The 20,861-nt window shown below is 45.9% G+C and overlaps 2 long non-coding RNA genes across 2 annotated transcripts, besides 2 other annotated features; both read left to right on the forward strand.

Moving 5' to 3' along the window:
• Positions 1–1,315: 1,315 nt before the first annotated feature.
• On the forward strand, positions 1,316–8,718 carry LOC105372502 (uncharacterized). The gene is made up of 3 exons (XR_937202.3): positions 1,316–1,591; positions 7,788–8,037; positions 8,164–8,718. It is a non-coding gene; the product is annotated as an uncharacterized LOC105372502 (long non-coding RNA).
• LINC03086 (long intergenic non-protein coding RNA 3086) lies at positions 14,221–20,444 on the forward strand. Its single transcript, NR_161305.1, has 2 exons — positions 14,221–14,812; positions 20,202–20,444. It is a non-coding gene; the product is annotated as a long intergenic non-protein coding RNA 3086 (long non-coding RNA).
• Positions 14,312–14,812: an enhancer, noted in NCBI's record as "H3K4me1 hESC enhancer chr20:2187665-2188165 (GRCh37/hg19 assembly coordinates)". NCBI's record gives its function as "activates a minimal SCP1, AML or CMV promoter by ChIP-STARR-seq in primed H9 embryonic stem cells {active_cell/tissue: H9 hESC(primed)}" and the evidence as "EXISTENCE:reporter gene assay evidence [ECO:0000049][PMID:30033119]".
• Positions 14,495–14,614: an enhancer, noted in NCBI's record as "active region_17463". NCBI's record gives its function as "activates an Ori minimal core promoter by ATAC-STARR-seq in GM12878 lymphoblastoid cells {active_cell/tissue: GM12878}" and the evidence as "EXISTENCE:reporter gene assay evidence [ECO:0000049][PMID:35858748]".
• Positions 20,445–20,861: the final 417 nt, after the last annotated feature.

Genomic DNA, 20,861 nt, shown 5'->3' on the forward strand with positions numbered 1-20,861 from the left:
CCTTTCCTTGCCCCAAGTTCATAATTTGTTTGTGTGCTTGTTTGGTAGCATTTGGACTGTAAGCTCCAGGAGCATTGCTTGTTTTTGATAATCATTATATCTCTAATGCCTAGTTAGAGCCTTGTACCTGGTAAGGATTCACTTAATATTTTTTGGAATATGAATGAAAGATTATTCATTCTGACCTGGACTGTAGCACCAGGCCAAGGGCAGGAATCCCAAAGCTGTGTTGAAACTTGCCCAATGCAGCTGGTTACTTCAGCCAAGTTTATCTTGATAGCCTCATCCATTTATTCATCAAAGATTTATTCAGTCTCTAACGTGTTTACTATTGTTCTAGCAGGTGGGGATTCAGTGGTGAGCAAAACAAAGTCTTTGCTTTCATGAAATATATTCTGGTTGTGGGGGACTGAGTGAATATATAAGAAACAGGCCGGACACCATGGCTCACACCTGTAATCCCAGCATTTTGGGAGGCCAAGGTGGGTGGATCACTTGAGGTCAGGAGCTTGAGACTAGCCTGGCAAACATGGTGAAACCCTGTCCAACTCTACTAAAAATACAAAAATTAGCCAGGTGTGGTGGTGTGTTCCTGTAGTCCCAGCTACTCAGGAGGCTAAGGCAGGAGAATCACTTGAACCCAGGAGGTGGAGATTGCAGTGAGCCGAGATCGTGCCACTCCACTCCAGCCTGGGCGACAGAGCAAGGCTCTGTCTCAAAAAAAAAAAAAAGGAAGAAAAAGAAACAGATAAGTAGGTTGAATAATGTCAAGAGGGAGAAAACTAAAATAGATTGAGTAGAATGGGGCTGGGGGGAGGTTACTTTGGCTACAGTGGCCAGGGAGGCTTCTTGATGAGGTGGCATTTGAACAGAGACCTTCATACAGTGACAGAGCAGACCTCTGCAAAGACCTGGGGAAGAACATTCTAAGCACGGGAAGGGCACATACTTGCGGAAGGGCAGGAAGGCCCTGGGCTTTAGCCTGAGGGCAGGGTGCAGGGCATCACACCCCAACCTCAGAGGGCAAGCAAGTTGACAGCTGCACACCTTTGTCGCTGTGTGCTTAAACTGGTTTGGAGCCACCTCTTTGAGGTCCTGCCAGAAGCCTGCATTCAGAAACAATGGAGCCAGAAATGAGTCCGTTTAAGAGCCACTTGTGCCCATTCGCCCACACCTCAGGCGGGTCAAGCAGGCCGCTGTCACATTCACTCAGGATGTCTCTCTCTGGAGGTGCTTCTGGCTGCAGAATTGTTTTCAAAACAGAAGAACGTTCTGAATTCCGCCTTCCCCCACTCCGCTCTGTCAATCTATTGATTATGTGTGGAATGAACTGGAGAACTCAACTAGGAGATGAAGAAAAACCCTCAGAAACCTCAAGGCCAAGAGGACGTGGTGGAGGCCAACTTGGGGGTTGCAGGACATCACCCACCTACCCACGAGATGATCTATTAATAGCTCAGTGGTTCTCACACCTGGGCAGGCATTGGCATTACCTGAAGCTGAGATGAAACCCAAATGGCTGAGTCCCGCACCCACAGTGTCTGATTCAGCGAGTCTGGGGCGGGGCCTGACTGAATTTCCTGCAATACAGGTGATGCATTTTTTTTTTATTTTTCTTTTTTAATTTTTATTTATTTATTTTTTTTGGGAGACAGAGTCTTGCTCTGTCACCCAGGCTGGAGTGGCAGTGGTGTGATCTCAGCTCACTGTAACCTCCTCCTCCAGGGTTCAAGTGATTCTCTTGCCTCAGCCTCCTGAGTAGCTGGGATTACAGGCATGAGCCACCACACCTAGCTAATTTTTGTATTTTTAGTAGAGACAGGGTTTCATCTTGTTGGCCAGACAGGTCTTGAAACATGGCGAAACCCCCTCTCTACTAAAAATATAACATGGTGAAACCCTGTCTCTACTAAAAATACAAAAATTAGCCTGGCGTGCTGGCGCACGCCTGTAATTTCAGCTACTTGGGAGGTTGAGGTGGGAAAATCTCTTGAACCCAGGAGGCAGAGGATGCAGTGAGCCAAGGTGGTGCCACTGTACTCCAGCCTGGGTGACAGAGCAAGACTGTCTCAAAAAAAAGAAAAAAAAAGTTCCAGGGCATTGAGCAAGTTAGGTATCCCCTGTATTCCTCAGTTTCCTCATTTATATGTCAGAGAGGTCTTCCTTGACCTCAGTTTACATTGCTCCCTTTCCTGATTTATAACATATAATACAATTATTGTAATATAATAGAATATGAGGTAAGAGATGATGACAGCTCCCACTTCATGAATTTGCCAGGAAGATTTAGTGAGTTCCCTTGTCCTCAGAAGAGTGCCTGGTACATAGTAGTGTTGAGTTAATCTTTGCTCAGGTTTTTCTGAAGTCATTCTGACGAACGCTCAGGTGTGTTGAACCCTCCTTGTTTGTACCCGGGTCAGAGTGGACAGCCCTTATCAGAATCACCTGGCTACTTGTCAAAAATGAGGATTTCTGGCCAGGTGCGGTGGCTCACGCCTGTAATCCCAGCACTTTGGGAGGCCAAGGTGGGTGGATCACGAGGTCAGGAGATCGAGACCATCCTGGCCAATATGGTGAAACCCCGTCTCTACTAAAATACAAAAAATTAGCTGGGCGTGGTGGTGTGCGCCTGTAGTCCCAGCTACTCAGGAGGCTGAGGCAGGGGAATTGCTTGAACCCGGGAGGCGGAGTTTGCAGTGAGCCCAGATTGCGCCACTGCACTCCAGCCTGGCGACAAGGTAAGACTCCGTCCCCCCCGCCCCAGCCAAAATGCGGATTTCTGCTCCCCAGCCCAGATCTGCAGGATCCTAAGCTGAGGGAGCAGATGAGGCTCTGGATTCTGCATTTTTTTTTAAACCATTGCCTCTGGGTGATTTTTGTGCAGAGTAGTCTGGAGAGCAGAGTGGAGTTAAATGAGTCTGGGTTTGAATCACCTTGCAGTTCGGGTTTGTATTACTCAGTGCCAGTGGGGCCCTGAGCAAAGTACTTTGCTGGGAGCCAGTGGAGCCTCACATACTAATGGAATGAAGGGTGCAGATGCCCTGGTGCACAGAGCCCTCAGCCCTCTGCCCCACCCCTGGCATGCCAGGAGTGCTCCACCATGTGGCTGTGGGCTCCTGGTGGCTCTGTCTCCTCCAGAGGGCCAAGTCCGCACTGGACACTTCCTCCGCACTACCAGAATCGGCCTCAGAGTCACCCAGACGACTCTGGTGGGCTTAACCCTCCTGGGTTCCCATTTGTCAAATATGGCCCTGTTCTCTCTCTTCCTTCCTTCCCTGATTATTAATACCTGTGGAGTGAGGAGCCCTATGTGGGGAACAGAGCTGGGTTAATGGAGGAAACAGAATCACAGAGAAATTTTACACTTGCAGCTTCCTGTTGTAAGTACCTTCATGTGAAAAAGCATCCTTTCTTTGTGTTTGAACAGTAATTATTCTTTTGAAGTTAGTTGTAGCATGTAAGCTGTCAATGCTAAATGTTGGATATAGGAGAAGTGACATGAATGAATGAATGAATGATGAATAAATGAATGAATCTATGGATGATGAACTGATTAATAAACAGGCAGAAGTCCTTTGCCTGAGCAAAGAAAGCAGTCCCAACAAGAAGTGGGCAGCAGAGACACTCTGCACCAAAATCGCATCTGGACCCCTGGAGGGGAAAACTCTCTTCCTCCTGTCCTCTCACCCGTTGCCCATATAATTGTCCACTAGACTTAAAGGCTTTTAAAGGGTGAGACCCTGAATTTGGCAAACTCTCTTATTTCTTTGCTTTTCGGAGGTATATTTTTCTCTAGTTTCTTAGTTGATGCTCTATTTGAAAAATTCCAACCTGGTCTTAGGATACCGTACGAAAAGGAACCTCCTCCACATTTCAGGGAGGTAACGATATTCACTTCACAGTAACTTACTTTTGGATGGTGCTTTATAGATTGCAAAATATCAGCTAGCCCCCCACGAACAAGTGTAAGTCTCTCTGCTCCTCTATGCTTGGCACTAACGCCCAACCCAAGGCAGGAACTCCAGCAACGATGTTGAATAGACCATGTCTGATTTGAGCCTTTAACAACTAACATTCGACTTTTATCATTGGAAACTGAGGATCAGAGGGATGGCGTGGCCATCCATGGTTGCCCAGCCTAGATCAGAGCTTGGATGTGGGAGTCACATCTCTGGTGATCTACCATGGAGAAGGGCATGGAGGAGGGCCTGGCACTGGTAATACAAAGGATGGGGATTCACAGCGGAATGAGATGGTTTCAGTCAGGGGGACTTGATTTAAATCCAGACTCTGCATCCTGACTAAGTCCTATGACCTCTCAGCCTCTCATTCTCCATCCTTGAAATGGGAAGGGCACACACAGCTATTTAGCAGGGCCATTGGATTAAATGGGAGCACATGTGTAAGGCACTTGACCCACAGGTAGAGAATAGTAAATGTTGGTGCCCTCCTTGCACCCCCAAACACCGAGAATGACCTCCATGCCTCCCCCTCTTCCATCCCCAACCTCATGTGGGTTTTGATGGTACGACGAACACGTTCTCCACACCGTATTAAAAAGTGACATGAGTCAAAGGCACAACAACAGCTTCTTTGTTCCAAGATTTTTCAAGAAAGAGACATCTTAAGCTCTCAGTTGCACTCTCCCTGGCGTATCCTGGCTAGTTTCCTGAAGAATGAATGACAAAGCTGATTGCTGCTTCACAGAGTGGAGGTGGAAAAAGAAAATGGGATGCATAATTTGTTAAGGAGCAAGTTTTTCAAATGTCAGTGACTTAGCATCAGGGAGCTGCAGGCTAGGGGGCCTATTGGGATTCTGCTTCTGGGAACTTCTGTGCCATCATTTTGCTCGATTAAATTCTGTATTTCAGCCCACTCCGCCTCTATTCATCTGCTTCAGTGCAACACTCCTAATTTGAGTAGCTCTAATTGGCTCAGATGGACGGCTGCAAGGTAGACGCCCTTCAAGGATGGCACACTTCGGGGGCTGTTTATAGCGATGCTGAACTTTAATCAAAGATAGCATGGGAAGAACACAGCTTTGGAGACAAATAGGCATGGGTCATTTTCTGTATGACCTTAGGTAATACTAGGCCATTCTAAGCCTGTTTCCCTGCCTATAAAATGGGGGTTATGTTGTGACTTCCTAAAGCCATTGCAGGGATAAATGAGGTCAGACATGGTATTAGTGCCTGGCACAGGAGGCAGACATTTTTTACAACAAGCTGCTGCATTTTCATAAAAATATTTTATTATGCCAAAGAAAATGTATGAATTCTGAAATGCCAGGTAGCATGATGGCTCTGTGAGCAATGTGGCACTAGTGACATCTGTTGTCAAATTTCAGAGATTCACAACCTCCTCCAGGTCATTACAAATCCAGCCCTTATTCCTGCGGACTACAGTCTAGATTGAGAAAATAAAATATGAACACGATGTCTGGAAAATGACTTTGTATTTAGGCACTTAGGTTAGAATGCAGGTTCAATTCTCTGGCTCCAAATGTTAGTGTTTCTATCAGTTATAACAAATAAATATGCAGAGGCAAAGCTGATCGACCGTTTCATTCCTTTTAAGAAACGGCGAGATGAACAGCTTCCCTAAGTCAGTGTGTCACAGCATTTAATTTCATGATGTTGTCTAGAAACTCTGTGTACTGTTTTCCAGGCCCAAACATATCACTCATTTACAAGAAGAAAATCAAAAGACAAGCTACCAATTCCCAGTAATGAGGGTTATTTGTTGATCATAAACGTAGACTCCATTCCCAGTGGAGGAGAGGCAGGGGCTCTTGTAGGATTAGAAATGATAAGGAAAAAACGCCAACAATCACGCACAGAGCATGGAGTCAGAAGCCCAGGAAGTGGAGACCTCTGGGCCCCTGGTTACGTGACCTTGGGCAGGTCACCTGCCCTGACTAGAACCATCTCCTCATCCTGAAATAGGCAGCAGTCCTTCCCATTCATCCTGTTCACACTGAGGCTTTTCAGAGCCAGCTCTTTATTCCTTGGATCTTTTTTCAATCTTTACAAAATCCAGTGAGGTTCGTGACTTGCCCAAGGTCAGAGATGTAAAAAGAAGCAAAGCCAGGATTAAAACTGTAGTCTGTATGCTGTCCCTATACACTATAAAATAATACGAGAGCTATTAAAAATATGATGACAGTAAGGACCACCAAGACATTGAAGTAAAAAGAAAAATACTCATTCATTCATTAATAAATATTTGCTGTCTAGTATGAGCCTGGCACCATTCCTGGCACCTGGCATCAAGATGATGGTGGTAGCTGAGCATAATGGGGAGACATACAATAAATAAGCAAGTAAATGACATAATTTCAGATAAGGCAAGTGCTGTGAAGACAGTAGAACATGGGTTTTCTTTTCTTTTCTTTTCTTTTTTGAGACAGGATCTGACTCTGTTACCCAGGCTGGAGTGCAGTGGTCCAATCTGAGCTCACTGCAAACTCCGCCTCCTGGGTTCAAGAGATTCTCCTACCTCAGCCTCCTGAGTAGCTGGGACTACAGGCACGCACCACCATGCCCAGCTAATTTTTGTAGAGACAGGGTTTTGCTATGTTGGCCACGCTGGTCTCAAATTCCTGGCCTCAAGTGATCCGCCTGCCTCGGCCTCCCAAAACGTTGGGATTACAGGCGTGAGCCACCGTGCCCGGCTGGAACATGGGTTTTCAATAATGAAGGTGAGGGGTAGCAAATTTAAATCGAGGTTGGGAAAGTCCTCTCTGAGGAAGTGACTTCTGAGCAGAGCCATATAGGGCTATCCTGAGAGGTCAAAGCACAGACCTCCTCTTTGCAAGGGCAAAACTCCTCAGAAGGAACGAAGCTCGCCATGGTGAGGATCAAGAGGAGGCTGGTGTGGCTGGAACTCAGTGAGAAAGTGCTAGAGGATGAAGGCAGAGACAGGCAGGCTGAGTTACGAGGCCTTGTAGCTGAGGAGTCTAGATTTTCTGTTAAGTGAAGACAGGAAGTGAGATAACTGAGTTAGTTATTTAATTAATGTAAAAAAGTTTTGTGGGGGGTGGGGGACAGAGTCTGGCTCTGTCGCCCAGGCTAGAGTGCAGTTGTACAATCTCGGCTCACTGCAACCTCCGCCTCCCAGGTTCAAGCAATTCTTCTGCCTCAGCCTCCCTAGTAGCTGGGATTACAGGTGCGCGCCACTACACCCGGCTAATTTCTGTATTTTTAGTAGAAATGGGGTTTCACCCTGTTGGCCTGGCTGGTCTTGAACTCCTGACCTCAAGTAATGCTCCTGCCTTGGCCTCCCAAAGTGCTGGGATTACAAACATGGGCCACCACACCCGGCCAAATTCAAGTAAAAATTTTAATTTGACTTATTGTTAAACTGATGATACGACTATTTAGAGTCGTAGGATTCAAAACTCAAAAGCACCAAAGGCAGAGAGTCTCCCTCCCACCCTATCCCCTTACTGTCCAGATCTTCTCCCTGGAAGCCATTTAGGTACAAGGTTCTTGTGTTTTCTTACAGAGATGTTATACACATACAAAATCAAACGTGCACACACATGCATCCTCCCTTTTTCTTTTACAAATGGTAGCATAATATTCACACTCTGTTTTTTTGAATTCTTGTCTTGGAGAGCATTTGTGGCGGTATTGGTAGAGTGTTTGCATGGTCATTTGTTTGTCTTGACTGCATGGTATTGCATTGCATAAGGTACTGTTATTTATTTACCCAGTTCCCTATTGGGAACCATTTAGGTTATTTCACTTGAAGGTTTTAAGGTAACATTCTGATTTATATTTTAGAAAAATCTCTCTGGCTGCTGCCAGGAGGCTGCTGTGTAGGAGACTGAGCATGGAAGCCCCAGCCCAGCCCTGCCCAGTTAGGAAGCAACTATTGTATTCAGCAAACCCTGCTGGCTCTAACGAGAAGTATCATCCCGAGTGCATCACCATCACTTCTCACCTCCATGGCCTCTCATTATGCACTCTCTGCCTCTACTCTTGCCTTCCTGGAGCCGTTCTCCAGCCGTTAGCCAAATGGGTCTTTTCAAAGGTGAGTCAGCTCATGCCACTTCCCTGTTGAAAACGTCAATGTTTTCCCATCACAGCTCAGGTAATATTAAAATTATTTCCTGTGGCTTCCGACTACCGCCCGACCTCACTGGCGCCTCTCTCCCAGGTTCCCTGTGCTCCAGCCCCTCATCACCTGGGATGGGGTTGTCTGCACCGCTGTCCTTGTGCCTGATGTCCCCACACGCTCGCTCCTCCTCCACCTTCCGGTAGTCCCAGCTTGAAAGTTCTGACCTCATCCCCTTCCCCAACACACCCCTACTCCCTGTCACATCACTCGAATCTGCTGCCTACAATTGGTGGGAGTGAAACCACTTAGTTTGCCAACTTTGAAGGAATCCTGTGAAATGCTCAGGTAACTGGCACCAATTTCCCATTTGTTCCCTTGACATTTCAGTGCTGCTTATGGATTAGTGCTTTGGGCAGCTGCACAGATAACCCACCTTTTGATCTGGGTCCGCTTGGCACAAGATACAATAAATGTCATGATAAATGTCAGCCAGGATTACAATGCTTCCTTCACAAACCTTAGCACAGACGGTTTCAATAAAGATTGCTTGATTAACTTTTTTCTTCTAATTCAATGCCATTTTAATCATGTGCCTACTTTTTGCTTAAAAGGCCTGTGAATTTCATTCTGACAAATAAAATTATTTTCCAAAAATGTACACAATTGCTTTGGCGATGTTCAATTTTCATTTCTTTGCTTGGTAACAGTGCTTAGCATTTAGCTGAGACTTCTTTATGGAAACTCTGCCTCCAGGAGAAGTAGCTAAAAGTCTGAAAAGTAATATTTGATGTATCATAAGGGGATAGTTATTAAATTCTTTTATTAAATTTAAGTTTTTATAAAACAGAACATCTTCAATGTGGAAGAGCTACATAGAATCACACTGAATGACTTTAAAGACATTTATTTCAAAGACTGCCATGTATCACACTGGTTAACAGTCACTCTGGATACAATTTTCTTTAAAGAGACCACTTCATTCCACTACAGCCACTTCAACTGCTTCCTCAATGGCTTAGAGAGGTCCAGGGGTTTTAGAGAGTCAGTGGGAAGTCATCCTAGAGATCATCAAAGTCTATCTTCCTCCTTTCTCAGAAAACAAATACCTGATAGTGTTGGTGCTTCCTTTCTCGGAACAATTGTGTTCCCTGAATCATACACAGTGGATGTTTTATACACAAAATTGTATTCTGATTGCATATACATACTATGCTAATGAATCACCCTCCAATCCATTTGTAGAGTGCTCTATCTGTAGAGTTATAGAAATATCAGTGTTCGCTCAAGATGGTCCATTGGGATGAGAAAATATTAGGACTTATATTCATGGTTATGTTTATTTGAAACTAGGAGAGATACTAAGTTTTACTAGTGTTTGCTACATGGCCTGACCCCAAAGGCCACACTGGGTCATGTGTCATGGGTGGTAAGCATGGGGGCGTCAGAGTGGTAGCCCGTGGCTCTTTCACTGACTTCTTGGCCTTCGGTGTATTACCATGTGTTACAGTTTCCCTGCTAGAGGAGGTTATCAACTCATCAACAGGGCTCATTTGGCAAAACCGAGACCCCTAAATGATATGATTTTTACAATACTTTAAAAATTGGCTGTATCTGTTTCCAGATTTTTTTCCCCTAAGCATCTACTAACAAATAGTTATATGTATTAGAAAACAAAAAGAGAGCCGGGCACAGTGGCTCACACCTATAATCCCAGCACTTTGGGAGGCCGAGGTGCACAGATCACTTGAGGCCAGGAGTTCAAGACCAGCCTGGCCAACATGGCAAAATCCCATCTGTATAAAAAATACATAAATTAGCTGGGCGTGGTAGCATGCGCCTGTAGTCCCAGCTACTTGGGAGGCTGAGGTAAGAGGATCGCTTGAGCCCAGGTGATTGAGGCTGCAGTGAGCCATGATCACACCACTGCACTCGAGCCTGGGAGTCAGAATGAGACCTTGTCTAAAAAAACAAAAACAAACTCAAAAAACAAAAAAAGCTTCATAATCTACATACACCTCTTTTCTTCACTCAGCCATATGGTTTGGGCATCTTTTCATGTCACTATATTTAGCTCTACCTCATTTTTCCCTACCTTATTCTTTTAAATATTTGCATAGAGTTCCGCAGTCATCCCTCTCATTACAAGGTTAGTTTGTTCCTAAGAAAATTCATAGGGTGAATTTTCATAAACGGAAAAGATAATTACTATTTCAACCGATGGTACACAGTTACTGCACAATTTCAGAAACAAAATACACACATGATTCTCAAAGTCATAAAAATTTTTTTAAAAAGCAGTATAAGAGAGACAAAGGAAACAATGCAAGTGATGCCTGAGTCTGTTACTTACAACCCGCACCAACTATGTCACCATAGAGAAGACCATGTGGAGGCTGCTCCAGAGGCTCAATAGCAGTCTTTGCTAATGCAGTGAAATCCTCACAAGCCAAAGAAAAGAAATTTAATGGAAATTAAACTCCTTTTAAAGTCAAAGTCTTGAACTTGCATGGGCATATTTTAGGGTAAGACTCTTTCCCATAGTATGGATGCATTATAATTTATTTCCCAACTGTTCATTATATGGACATCTGGGTTCATATTAATCTGCCAGGACTCCCATAACAAAATACCACAGACTGAGTGGCTTAAACAACAGAAATGTATTTTCTGACAGTTTCAGAAGCTGGAAATCCAAAATCAAGGTGTTGGCAGCTTGGTTTCTCCTGAGGCCTCTCTCCTTGGCTTGCAGATGGCAATCTTTTCAGTGTATCCCCACATGGTCTTTCCTCTGTGTGTGCACCCTGGGTGTCTCTCTTCTTAGAAGGATACTAGTCATATTGGATGAGGTCAATATGAGGTCATTACCCATATGACCTCATTCAACCTTAATTACCTCTTTAAAGACCTTATCTCCAAATATAGTGGCATTCAAAATCATTAGGAGTTAAGATGAATTTTGGGGTGCACAATTCAGTCCATAACTCAGTTGTTTCTCATATTTTTCACCGATATTCCTCACCTCACACACTCCTCAATCCATTCTAATCTCATTTCCACCCTCAGTGCTCCAATGGATATTTCCCTCCTCTGAGTGCTACCTGGTCAATTGTGATTGTTGCTCCCGTAAACAACTACAGTGTTCTCCTTCTTATTGGTTCCATGATGTTTATCATCCCCCCTGCCGCCGCCCAATCCATTCTCCCATAGACATAGTAAAATGCATTTGTAATCTAATCACCCCACCCCTTATCTTGATACTCTTCCCTGACTTCTTGCTTTTGAATTAAGACGCAAACAACTTAGGATGGTGGACAAGCCCTTGCAGGATCAGATATCGGTCCACCTCATTCATACTCCAACAGCCTCCTCCAACCCACTTCATTCCAGCCACACTGGCTTGCTTTCATCCCATGAGAAAGGTCAAGTCTTTTCCCACTTCAGGGCATGAATTGTGTCCTCTGCCAAGAACAACCTCCTCTTTGTCTGTCTCATCCTTCACACAGATTAAAAGTGAGTTTCTCAGTGAAGCTCTCCTTGACCCCCACTTGTCAGGTTACCATTGTCCCAGGCTCCCACAGAATTCTGGATTTTCTCTGCAGTGGTTATTACACATTGCAGTCACTGGAGCGATTGTTTCATATGCATCTCCCCCACCAGACCAAGAGCTTCTGGAGAGCAGGGGCCACATGGAAGATGCTCATTCCTGCATCCCCAATGCTCAGCCCAATTCCTGGCACAAAGTAAGTACTCGATAAATATTTAATGAATAAATAAACTCGTTGCATTTGGCTGTTTCCTCCATTTGGAAGGCCCTTTTCATTCTCATCCATCTGGCACGTTGAGGCCAGCCAGCTCCTATATCGCTCTGATTAGACTGTGAATTACTTTCATGGCAGGACCTGTGTTCCCAGTGCCTGGTAAAGGGCATGGCGCACACAGCAAGCCTGCCGGTTGAAGCAGATCATTTTTACTTTGCTGCGTATCCAGGTCCTACATCACTGCCCTACTGAAGGTTCTTGAGTCAAGAAGCAGATGAAAAAATTATCAACCTTCTGTCTGATTCATAATGACTATCACCGGTAGTCATTTATTTTGTATGATTTGTCTATAAATCATACAAAATAAAACTGACAATGGTTAAGATGGCACCTGTGAAATTTGTTATGAACTCAGAAGACTCACATCTTAAAGGTAACACTGGAAATTACAAGAAGCAAAGGAAATCAGATCTGGTTGAAATAATCAATGCAAACTAAAACAGACTGCCCACGTAAAATTTGCTCCTTACTAAACATTTGTAGAGGACTGCCATTGACAGATTTTTGGACCCACAAAATTTTGCCAAAGGAAATGGAACTATGGCGGCTGGGCATGGTGGCTCATGCCTGTAATCCCAGCACTTTGGGAGGCCAAGGCAGGCAGATCCCTTGAGCCCAGGAGTTCGAGACCAGCCTGGGCAACATAGTGAAAGCCTGTCTCCAAAAATGAAAATCAACCAGGCGTGGTGGTGCATGCCAGTAGTCCCAGCTAGTTGGGAGGCTGAGGTGGGAAGATTGCTTGAGCCTGAAGGTTGACGCTGCAGTGAGCCCTGATGGCGCCACTGCACTCCAGCTTGGGCAAGAGGGTGAGACCGTGTCTCAGAAAGAAAAGAAAATAGAACTTGCTAGTGTCAATGCCTTTTAGCCAAAGACCACCAGGACACACCTATAGTTGAACAAGTTGGGTTGCACTGAGGGAGAGTACATACCATGACAGAACTATGGGGGGGTATCTTCGAAAAGAGGTGTTATAAAGAACCTATTACTGGATTTGAGCTTTTATGGGTAATTTAAGGAGGGCCTATGGAAGTTGGATTCGCCCTAGATTGGAAGTGGTCAGGAAGCAGGAGCCAATTCCATGATTGGGTATCTCAATAAATCTAATCTATAGAGAAGGCAAACTAGAAGAAAGATAAAACTGTAATTAGTTAGCAGGGGGCCGGGCACGGTGGCTCACGCCTGTAATCCCAGCACTTTGGGAGGCTGAGGCAGGCAGATCACGAGGTCAGGAAATCGAGACCATCCTGGCTAACACAGTGAAACCCCATCTCTACTAAAAATACAAAAAATTAGCTGGGCGTGGTGGCGGGCTCCTGTAGTCCCAGCTACTTGGGAGTCTGAGGCAGGAGAATGGCATGAACCTGGGAGGCGGAGCTTGCAGTGAGCCGAGATCCTGCCACTGCACTCCAGCCTGGGCGACAGAGCGAGACTCTGACTCAAAAAAAAAAAAAAAAAAAAAGAGAGAGAAAAAAAAAAGAAGTAGCAGTCACTCATTTTCTCCAAGACGGGTGTTTGGTATTTTGTGAGTGGCACAGTGACTGTGTTTTTGTCTGTGCTTAGACAAAATTTCAAAGTAGATTTGCTATGTCTCACTTTATCAGGCTCTCTGTAACCATATCTGAGGTTGTTATTTTGTGACGCTACGTACAATAGGAGGATAACATGGTGGACCTGTGATGCCAGGCTAGCTTCTGAATGTCGGGGTTCCCTTTTTTTTTTCTTTTTCAATAAAATAAGCATGAAATACAAAATATCACAATGATGGAAACCAAAGTAAAATTCGACATACAAATTTTAAAGAAGTAAAATCTTTATCATGAAATTTATATGTAAAAGAATCACTCAGTAAAGACAATTTCCATAAAATAAAAATGGATATGGATACTATTTAACTATGTTGTATTAAAAAAAACTGATCAAAGAATTGGTTTAATGGAAAATGCTCTGGAAAATTCTTTTGCAACAGTTCATCGCTGTTGATATAATCCTAATTAAAATTATCGGACTCCAGTTTTGGTGGAGATGTAAATTTGCTAGTGTCTTTGAAGAGCAATTTAGTCATATTCATGAAAATTAAAATTGCATGTGGCCTTTGACATAGAAATTTTACTTCTGGAAATTTACAGAGAAAGTTGCACGTGTGCACGTACATACAAGGATATTACCACTCCACTCTAGTATTTTTTGTAGTAACGAAGATTGAACAAACATTAATGTCCTCCAGTAAGAAGCTGATTAAAATTCAGTATGAGACATCCATTGTACCCAAAGCTAGGTGGCCTTAAGAAGGTCAGTGTCGCTCAGCGACAGGGCTCGGCCCCCCCTCGTGCAAACCCACCCCGAGGTGTGAGGCCAGGAGTGTGCGGTCACGAGGCGCCCGGGAAGTGTGTCCAATGCCCGAAGCAGCCCCCACCCGGGCGGTCCTGAGTCCGGGTCGCGCTCTGGTGTATCTCTTTTGACGTCTGCTACCCACAGCCTGGGGCAGGAGAGTGGCGACGGCGAGGAGCAACTGCACGCGACTTGGGACCTTGCCCTGCCCCGCGGCCCGCGTCACCATGGCAACTGCAGGCAGCCAGCACCGACGGCGGGAAAACGAGGACCGGAGCCGCGTTACAGCCTTGGCCTTCGAGCAGCCCAGGGAGAGTCTCTGCGTCCTCCAGCCCCCGCTTCCCTTCATGTCGGAGGTCCTAAGCCCGCAGCGAAGTCCGCAAAGAGCTTTCCCCGACGCCTACGAGACCGGAAGTGCCTGGGCCCAGGTGGAGGAAGGACCCGCGTGGCCGCCTCCGCGCTCTCCCTGGGGTCCGTGCCCCTTCCGGCGTTTCTCCCGCGTCCTTCACCATGGCAACTCGGGCGTCGGGAGCGTGGGCTGCGAGCCGAGTGGGTGGGGGAGCCGCCGGGCTCTATCCGCCAGCCCACGAGAAGTGACGCAGGTGACGGGAGGCCGCAGGGACCTGAGGGCGGAGAGGGGAATTCAGAAAGTGCCGGGCGGCGGCTTCCGCTTCCTCTGCGGGGTCTCTGGGTGGTCGTGGCTGGGAGCTGCCGGGGCCCGGTGGCCGTGCGCCTCTGCTCCGGGCAAGCTCTCCCTGCAAGGCCCGGGCGGCGGCAGGGGGCAGTAGCGGCCCGCGATGCTCAGAGGCTCGCTGGCACGGAGCTCCCGGGCTGGGGCGTCCAGATCTGGAGAAGCCGGGGGCCTTGGTCACACTCAGAGCTGACGTCCAGTGCGGCCCTTGCTGAGGACTCGAGCGAACAGATCTCTACCCAGCCCCCGCCCCACGCGCACCCAGCCTGGGTCAGCTCGCCCTGCCCGCAGCCACGCAGCTGGTGGCTAAGCGCGGGCTCCGGGTTCAGGCTGCCTTGAGCTCTGTTGGTTCCCTCTGAAAGTGCTGATAATGATAGCAGGTATCTTGGGATTGCTTTGAGTATTAAACGAGTTAATCGTACTTAGTACAATTTCTGGACTTAGTTTCTAGCACGTGGGAAGTGCTCATGGGCTTGCCTGGGGCAAGTTAGTTGACCTCTCAACCTTGCCTCATTAAAAAGTGGGGATAATAATAGTACCCACTTAATACCGTTATAATAATTACAGTAGTTAATATTTGTAAAGCCCCTTGCCTTCAAGAACTTAGGACATTAAAAAAAAGATTGTGAAGTCCCTAGAATGGTGCCAGGCACATAGTAAGCTGCCTCTATTATTACCATGGTCATATTGTTGTTATCACTATGTTAAATAAAATTTATAAGAGGCTATTGGTTTGGACTGAGCTCCTGCACTATGCCCAACAGATCAACCCAACATGGAGTCACTTATGCTGAAGTTCCGTGCCACCAAGCTGAAACTAAGTTGCTTATTTGACTTTCCTAGAAATTAGGAGAGAGAGACAGTTAATATAGCCAAATGCCCAAGTAAACCAGCTTTAGCTGGCATGATGAGGAAGTCCTCTCTGCTTTAACCTTTACAAGGAAAATAACTTTGAAACAACCAATTCGCTTTTTGTTCTGTGTTTCTGCTTTCTTCAGCCCTTTTCTGTCTATAAAGCCAGCCTCCTCAGCTCAGCTCATCAGAGCACTCATTCTGTTTTATAGAACGAGGCATCGGCTGATTCTAGAATGCAAATATAAGCCAATTAAGATTTTAAACTAAATTTCTTGTAATTTTTGTCTTTTGACAACTATTATCGTCTGTTTGCCTTGTGAGGTTGGAAAGGATTGCACTTGTCCTGCTACAAGGACTCTTAGTCTCTGGCTGGATTACAGAAACATTTGCCTGCATTTCTCCTTTTATTTCCCAAAGTTTTTCAGCGTCTTACATGGTTCTGTAGAAGAGGCAGGATCGTGTCCTTAAAAGACCACTGGGCTGTGAGTCAGGTGGATTTTGGTCTTGATAATGCTACTTGGGCAGGTCACTGTTTCCTCATCCATCTGTAAGCCTCTTTCAACAAAGGGTAGCTGGTATTATCTATTATGCATGTTTAGCCTTTCCGGTAAGGTAATATATTTAGTAAAACTAAATTAGCATCTGTCAGCAACTCTCCAGGGTAGTAGGAGAAGGTGGCAGGTGCTTTGAGGAAGTTACAGATGAGAAGCTATGGGATTCTGAGAAGGGAGAGTAAGCTTCTTAATTTATACTTTAATTTCTAATAAGTAGAAATGTCAAGATGTACGGGGGTCAAATGAGAATGATTCTACCCCTCCACCCCACTAAAAAGTCTGGGAAAGTGAATTTTCCCCTCTGAGGCCTTCTTATTTCTCAGTTGGAAATAAAATGTATGTTGGCAGCTACATTCATTATTGCTTGCAGTGTAATCCGGCCCCTGTTATGGATTCCCAGACTTGGGCTCCTGGACTGACTTCTTCCATTGGCAAGAACATCATATTCACCATATTCTTCTCTTTCTCTCTCTCTCTCTTTTTTTTTTTTTTTTTTTTTGAGACAGTCTCGCTCTGTCACCCAGGCTGGAGTGCAGTGGCATGATCTTGGCTTACTGCAACCTGCAACCTCTGCCTCCCCGGCTCAAGCAACTCTTGTGCCTCAGCTTCCCAAGTAGTTACAGGCATGCACCACCATGACCGGCTAAATTTTTGTATTTTTTAGTAGAGATGGGGTTTCACCATGTTGGCCAGTCTGGTCTTGAACTCCTAATCTCAAATCTGCCCGCCTTGGCTGCTTCCCAAAGTGCCGGGATTGCAGGTGTGAGCCACTGTGCCTGGCCCTTTGTTTTTTGTTTGTTTGTTTTGGAGACAGGGTCTCACCCTGTTGTCCAGGCTGGAGTGCAGTGGCACAGTCACAGCTCACTGTAGCCTCGTCCTCTAGAGCTCAAGTGATCCTTTCACCTCAACCTCGCTAGTAGCTGGGACCACAGGCACACACAACCATGCCCAGCTAATTATATTTTCATTTTTTGTAGGAACGGGTAGGGTGTCTCTATGTAGCCCAGGCTGGCCTTGAACTCCTGGGCTCAAGGGATTTTCCCTCCTTGGCTTCCCAAAGTGCTGGAATTACAGACATAAACCGCCGCACCTGGCCTTCTTTCTGTTTTCAGAAACCTCCCTTCACTCACCAGAGTGTAAGGTCCCTATTTATCCCACTTAGGTTAATGCACTAGGTTAGAGTAAGCAGTGTTTCCTAGCAGTTATGGGCATTGGCTTTTATAGTCAGGGGATTTGAGCCCTGCTGTGATTTTGAATCAATGTCTGAGCCTCAGTTTCTTCATCTTCAAAACAAGGACAGTAATACTCCGGGCTGTTGTGATGATAGCGTGAGATCTTGCACTTAAAGAATCCAGCATGGCCGGGCATGGTGGCTCACACCTGTAATCCTAGCACTTTGGGAGGCCGAGGCAGGCAGATCATGAGGTCAGGAGTTCAAGACCAGCCTGACCAACATGATGAAACCCCGTCTCTACTAAAAATACAAAAATTACCCGGGCGTGGTGGTGCAGATTTGTAATCTCAGCTACTCAGGAGGCTGAGGCAGGAGAATCACTTGAACCCAGGAGGCGGAGGTTGCAGTGAGCTGAGATCGTGCCATTGCACTCCAGCCTGCATGACAGAGAGAGACTCTGACTCAAAAAATAAAAAACAAACAAATAAAAAAAGAATCCAGCGGTACCTGCTAGGACAAGTGCTCAAAAAAAAAAATGTTGGCTGCTCTTTTTAAAAATATACATAAATAAATATGGGGTCTTACTGTGTTGCCCAGGCTGGTCTCAAACTCCTGGCCTCAAGCCATCCTCCTGCCCCGGCCTTCCAAAGTGCTGGGATTACAGGCATGTGCCACCACACCCAGCTGGCTGCTCTTTTTTAGCACTGTCATCATGGTTATTACATTGTTAGTTCACAAAAGGCAGGGTGATCTTTTGTAGTCTTTTTCTTCTCTTTATTGCTTGGCAGATCTCTTTATTGCCAGCAAATGTTTGTTGAATGAATGAGTGAATCCACCCAGGAAGCTCTAGTAGCAGTGAATTTCACATTGCCCTGACTAATAGCAGCTCTGCGCCAGAAACCATATTCAGTCCCATTACCTTGTTGAATCCTCAAGTTTGATGACTTTGTCTAGCCTTCCAATTTGGCTCCTGAAGCATTGGTGTCATTGATTCACAGTCCAGAAGCTGGGAGTAATGTCTGCTGCAGATTTCTGTATTGTTTCCGTAATGAAGCTGACAGCAGCATAATATCTGTAGCCTGTGCTAAGATAGGAGTTGGGTGTCATGCTGACGTCAGGCAGTGTGTTCTCATCTCCCCAAGGATGAGCTGGCTTCCTTGATGCAGTTTCCTCATCTCATTAGTGCATTGCTTGACATTACACTTCTGAAACAGCAGGGCTCAATCAGAGTTTAGCACTGCAACTCTATCAGGGTGATAATGTCACAGGGCATCAGATTCCTTCTTTTGTCCCTCTGTGGCCACTTCCAGAGAAGTGTAGCAGCTGTAGGGGAAGGACAGACCAAGGAAGGTCTTTTTGCTTCTTCTGATCCACTCACTGTATTTGAGTTTTGGGTTAGAGAAGCCTTTAGAAACCTCTAATTTAGTACTTTTTAAATACTGTTCTGTGGGGGTTTTAGAATTCGTAGGACTCCCTCATCCTGCCAGGAGCTGTTTCTGGGGAGAATAACTACCTAAACAGGTAGAACTTGGGGCATCCTACCTCTGATTCAACCAAAGTGAGCCCTGTGACATCTCTGGAATACTGAAGAACAAATTTCTTTTTATTCCTCAGTAGAGACTCTGAAAGCCAGTCAGCAACATTGTTGGACTTTGAGCAAGCTATTTATGCATTTGCAGTGTTTATTCATTCATTCAGCACATTCTCCGACACTTTACTAGGGGGCTGGGGATAGAGCAAGAAACAAAATAAAGATCCTGCCATCAAAGAGCTTACATTCTAGTAGGAGGAGACAGACAGTAAAATATGTGCCATGCAGGGCCTCTCCAAGGATGTAGAATGAACAGACGGCTGAAGGAAGTGAGGGCTGATAAATGGTGGAAGAATGTTCTAAGCAGAAGAAATAGCTGTGCAGAGTCTCTGAGGTAGGATGCCAGAGCAGCTGGAGAGGAGGGAATGATAGAGCCAGTGGAGGTAGACAAGAGGCTGAGGTCTAGATTACCAGGACCTCGGAACCATGGAAAGCACTTTAGATTTTACTCAGAAGGAGATGGGAGGACATTGGAGAGGTGAAAGCAGAGGAATGACAAGACTTGATTAATAGGAACATTCCGGCTACTGGGTAGAGAATAGAACTTAGGGAGTGAGAGTGGAAGCAAAGACCAAGGAGGCTTTTAGAAGGGTCCACGTGCGAGGTGACAATAGCTTGGACTGGCATAGTAAAGAAAGGTGAGAAGCACTTGGACTTGGGATGCATTCCGAAGGCAGACCTTACACATTCTGCTAATGAGTTCTATGTTGGGTGGGAGAGAAAGAGGAATCGACCGTGACCTCAAGGCTTGGGCCTGTGCACCTGGATGAAGGGCGCTGTTTACTGAGACATTTGTCACAGTCACAGTTTGCCAATTCAACTGCTTTTCACGATGGAGGAGGAACTGCTCTAGGGTGATGTCAGAAGCTCTGAGACCAGGAGGGTGTTTTAGCTGAGGCTTTCTCATAACAGTCACTTGCCCACAGTCACACAAGTTGGATCTAGAACTAGAGCAAATGATCCCTGGTGCTAAGGCTGCATAGTGCCTATTAGCATCCACAAAAATCTCATTTCTGTTTGGCTGCGCTTCAGATTCAGGCAGCTGGTGTATTTTGATGTCTTGGTGGTTCCATGCTGTGAGAAGAGTTTGTGTCATGAAAATTAGCAGCCTTCTCTTTTCTCCCAGGAGCACCATTGAAGGAGAATTAGACAAACTGGAGTCTACTGAGATGAGGCTGTTGGGAATGGCCCTGGTACCACATCCTGAGCAGGGATGGCCGATGGAATGGGGAGAAGACTCAGGTGGGGCTTGAGTGTGTCCTCTGATGACTGAAGAGCCTTGGGAGCAAGCATCCTTCCTGCTACTGTGTGTTTGCTGGTTCCAATGATACATAATTTGTGCTTTTCGTAATTAAAGTATTATCCTGTAGATCTTGATGGTGTTGACTACTTCCCCTTGGAGGCGTGTGACCTGGAGATGAGGTTAGCGTATCCCACCACCACGTTTCCCCAGACCAAAAACTGAAGCAGCCTAGGGGGTTTCAGAAGTTTTAAAACTGGGCCTCTTGGGTCTTGATCTATAAGGAGATGAGATAGTTCCTGTGTGGGCACAAACGAAGGTGGGGGCCTTGCGCCAGTGGAGGAGTCCGGGGGGAAGAGCCTAGAGGAGGCAGCTAGGAAGCTTGTGGCAGCTACAGAGGCTACATATGTGTTGGCTTAGGGCCAGAGGCCTGTCCTATGGAGACTTGTCTGTTCTGTCATTTAGGAATATGTGCAGCTGCAAGAAACAGAATACCACTTAAGGTGCCTTCAGAAAAGCAGGGCTTTATTTTTCTGTCATGACAAG

This window comes from Homo sapiens, chromosome 20 (genome assembly GCF_000001405.40).
Source record: "Homo sapiens chromosome 20, GRCh38.p14 Primary Assembly".
Classification (NCBI taxonomy): Eukaryota; Metazoa; Chordata; class Mammalia; order Primates; family Hominidae; genus Homo; species Homo sapiens.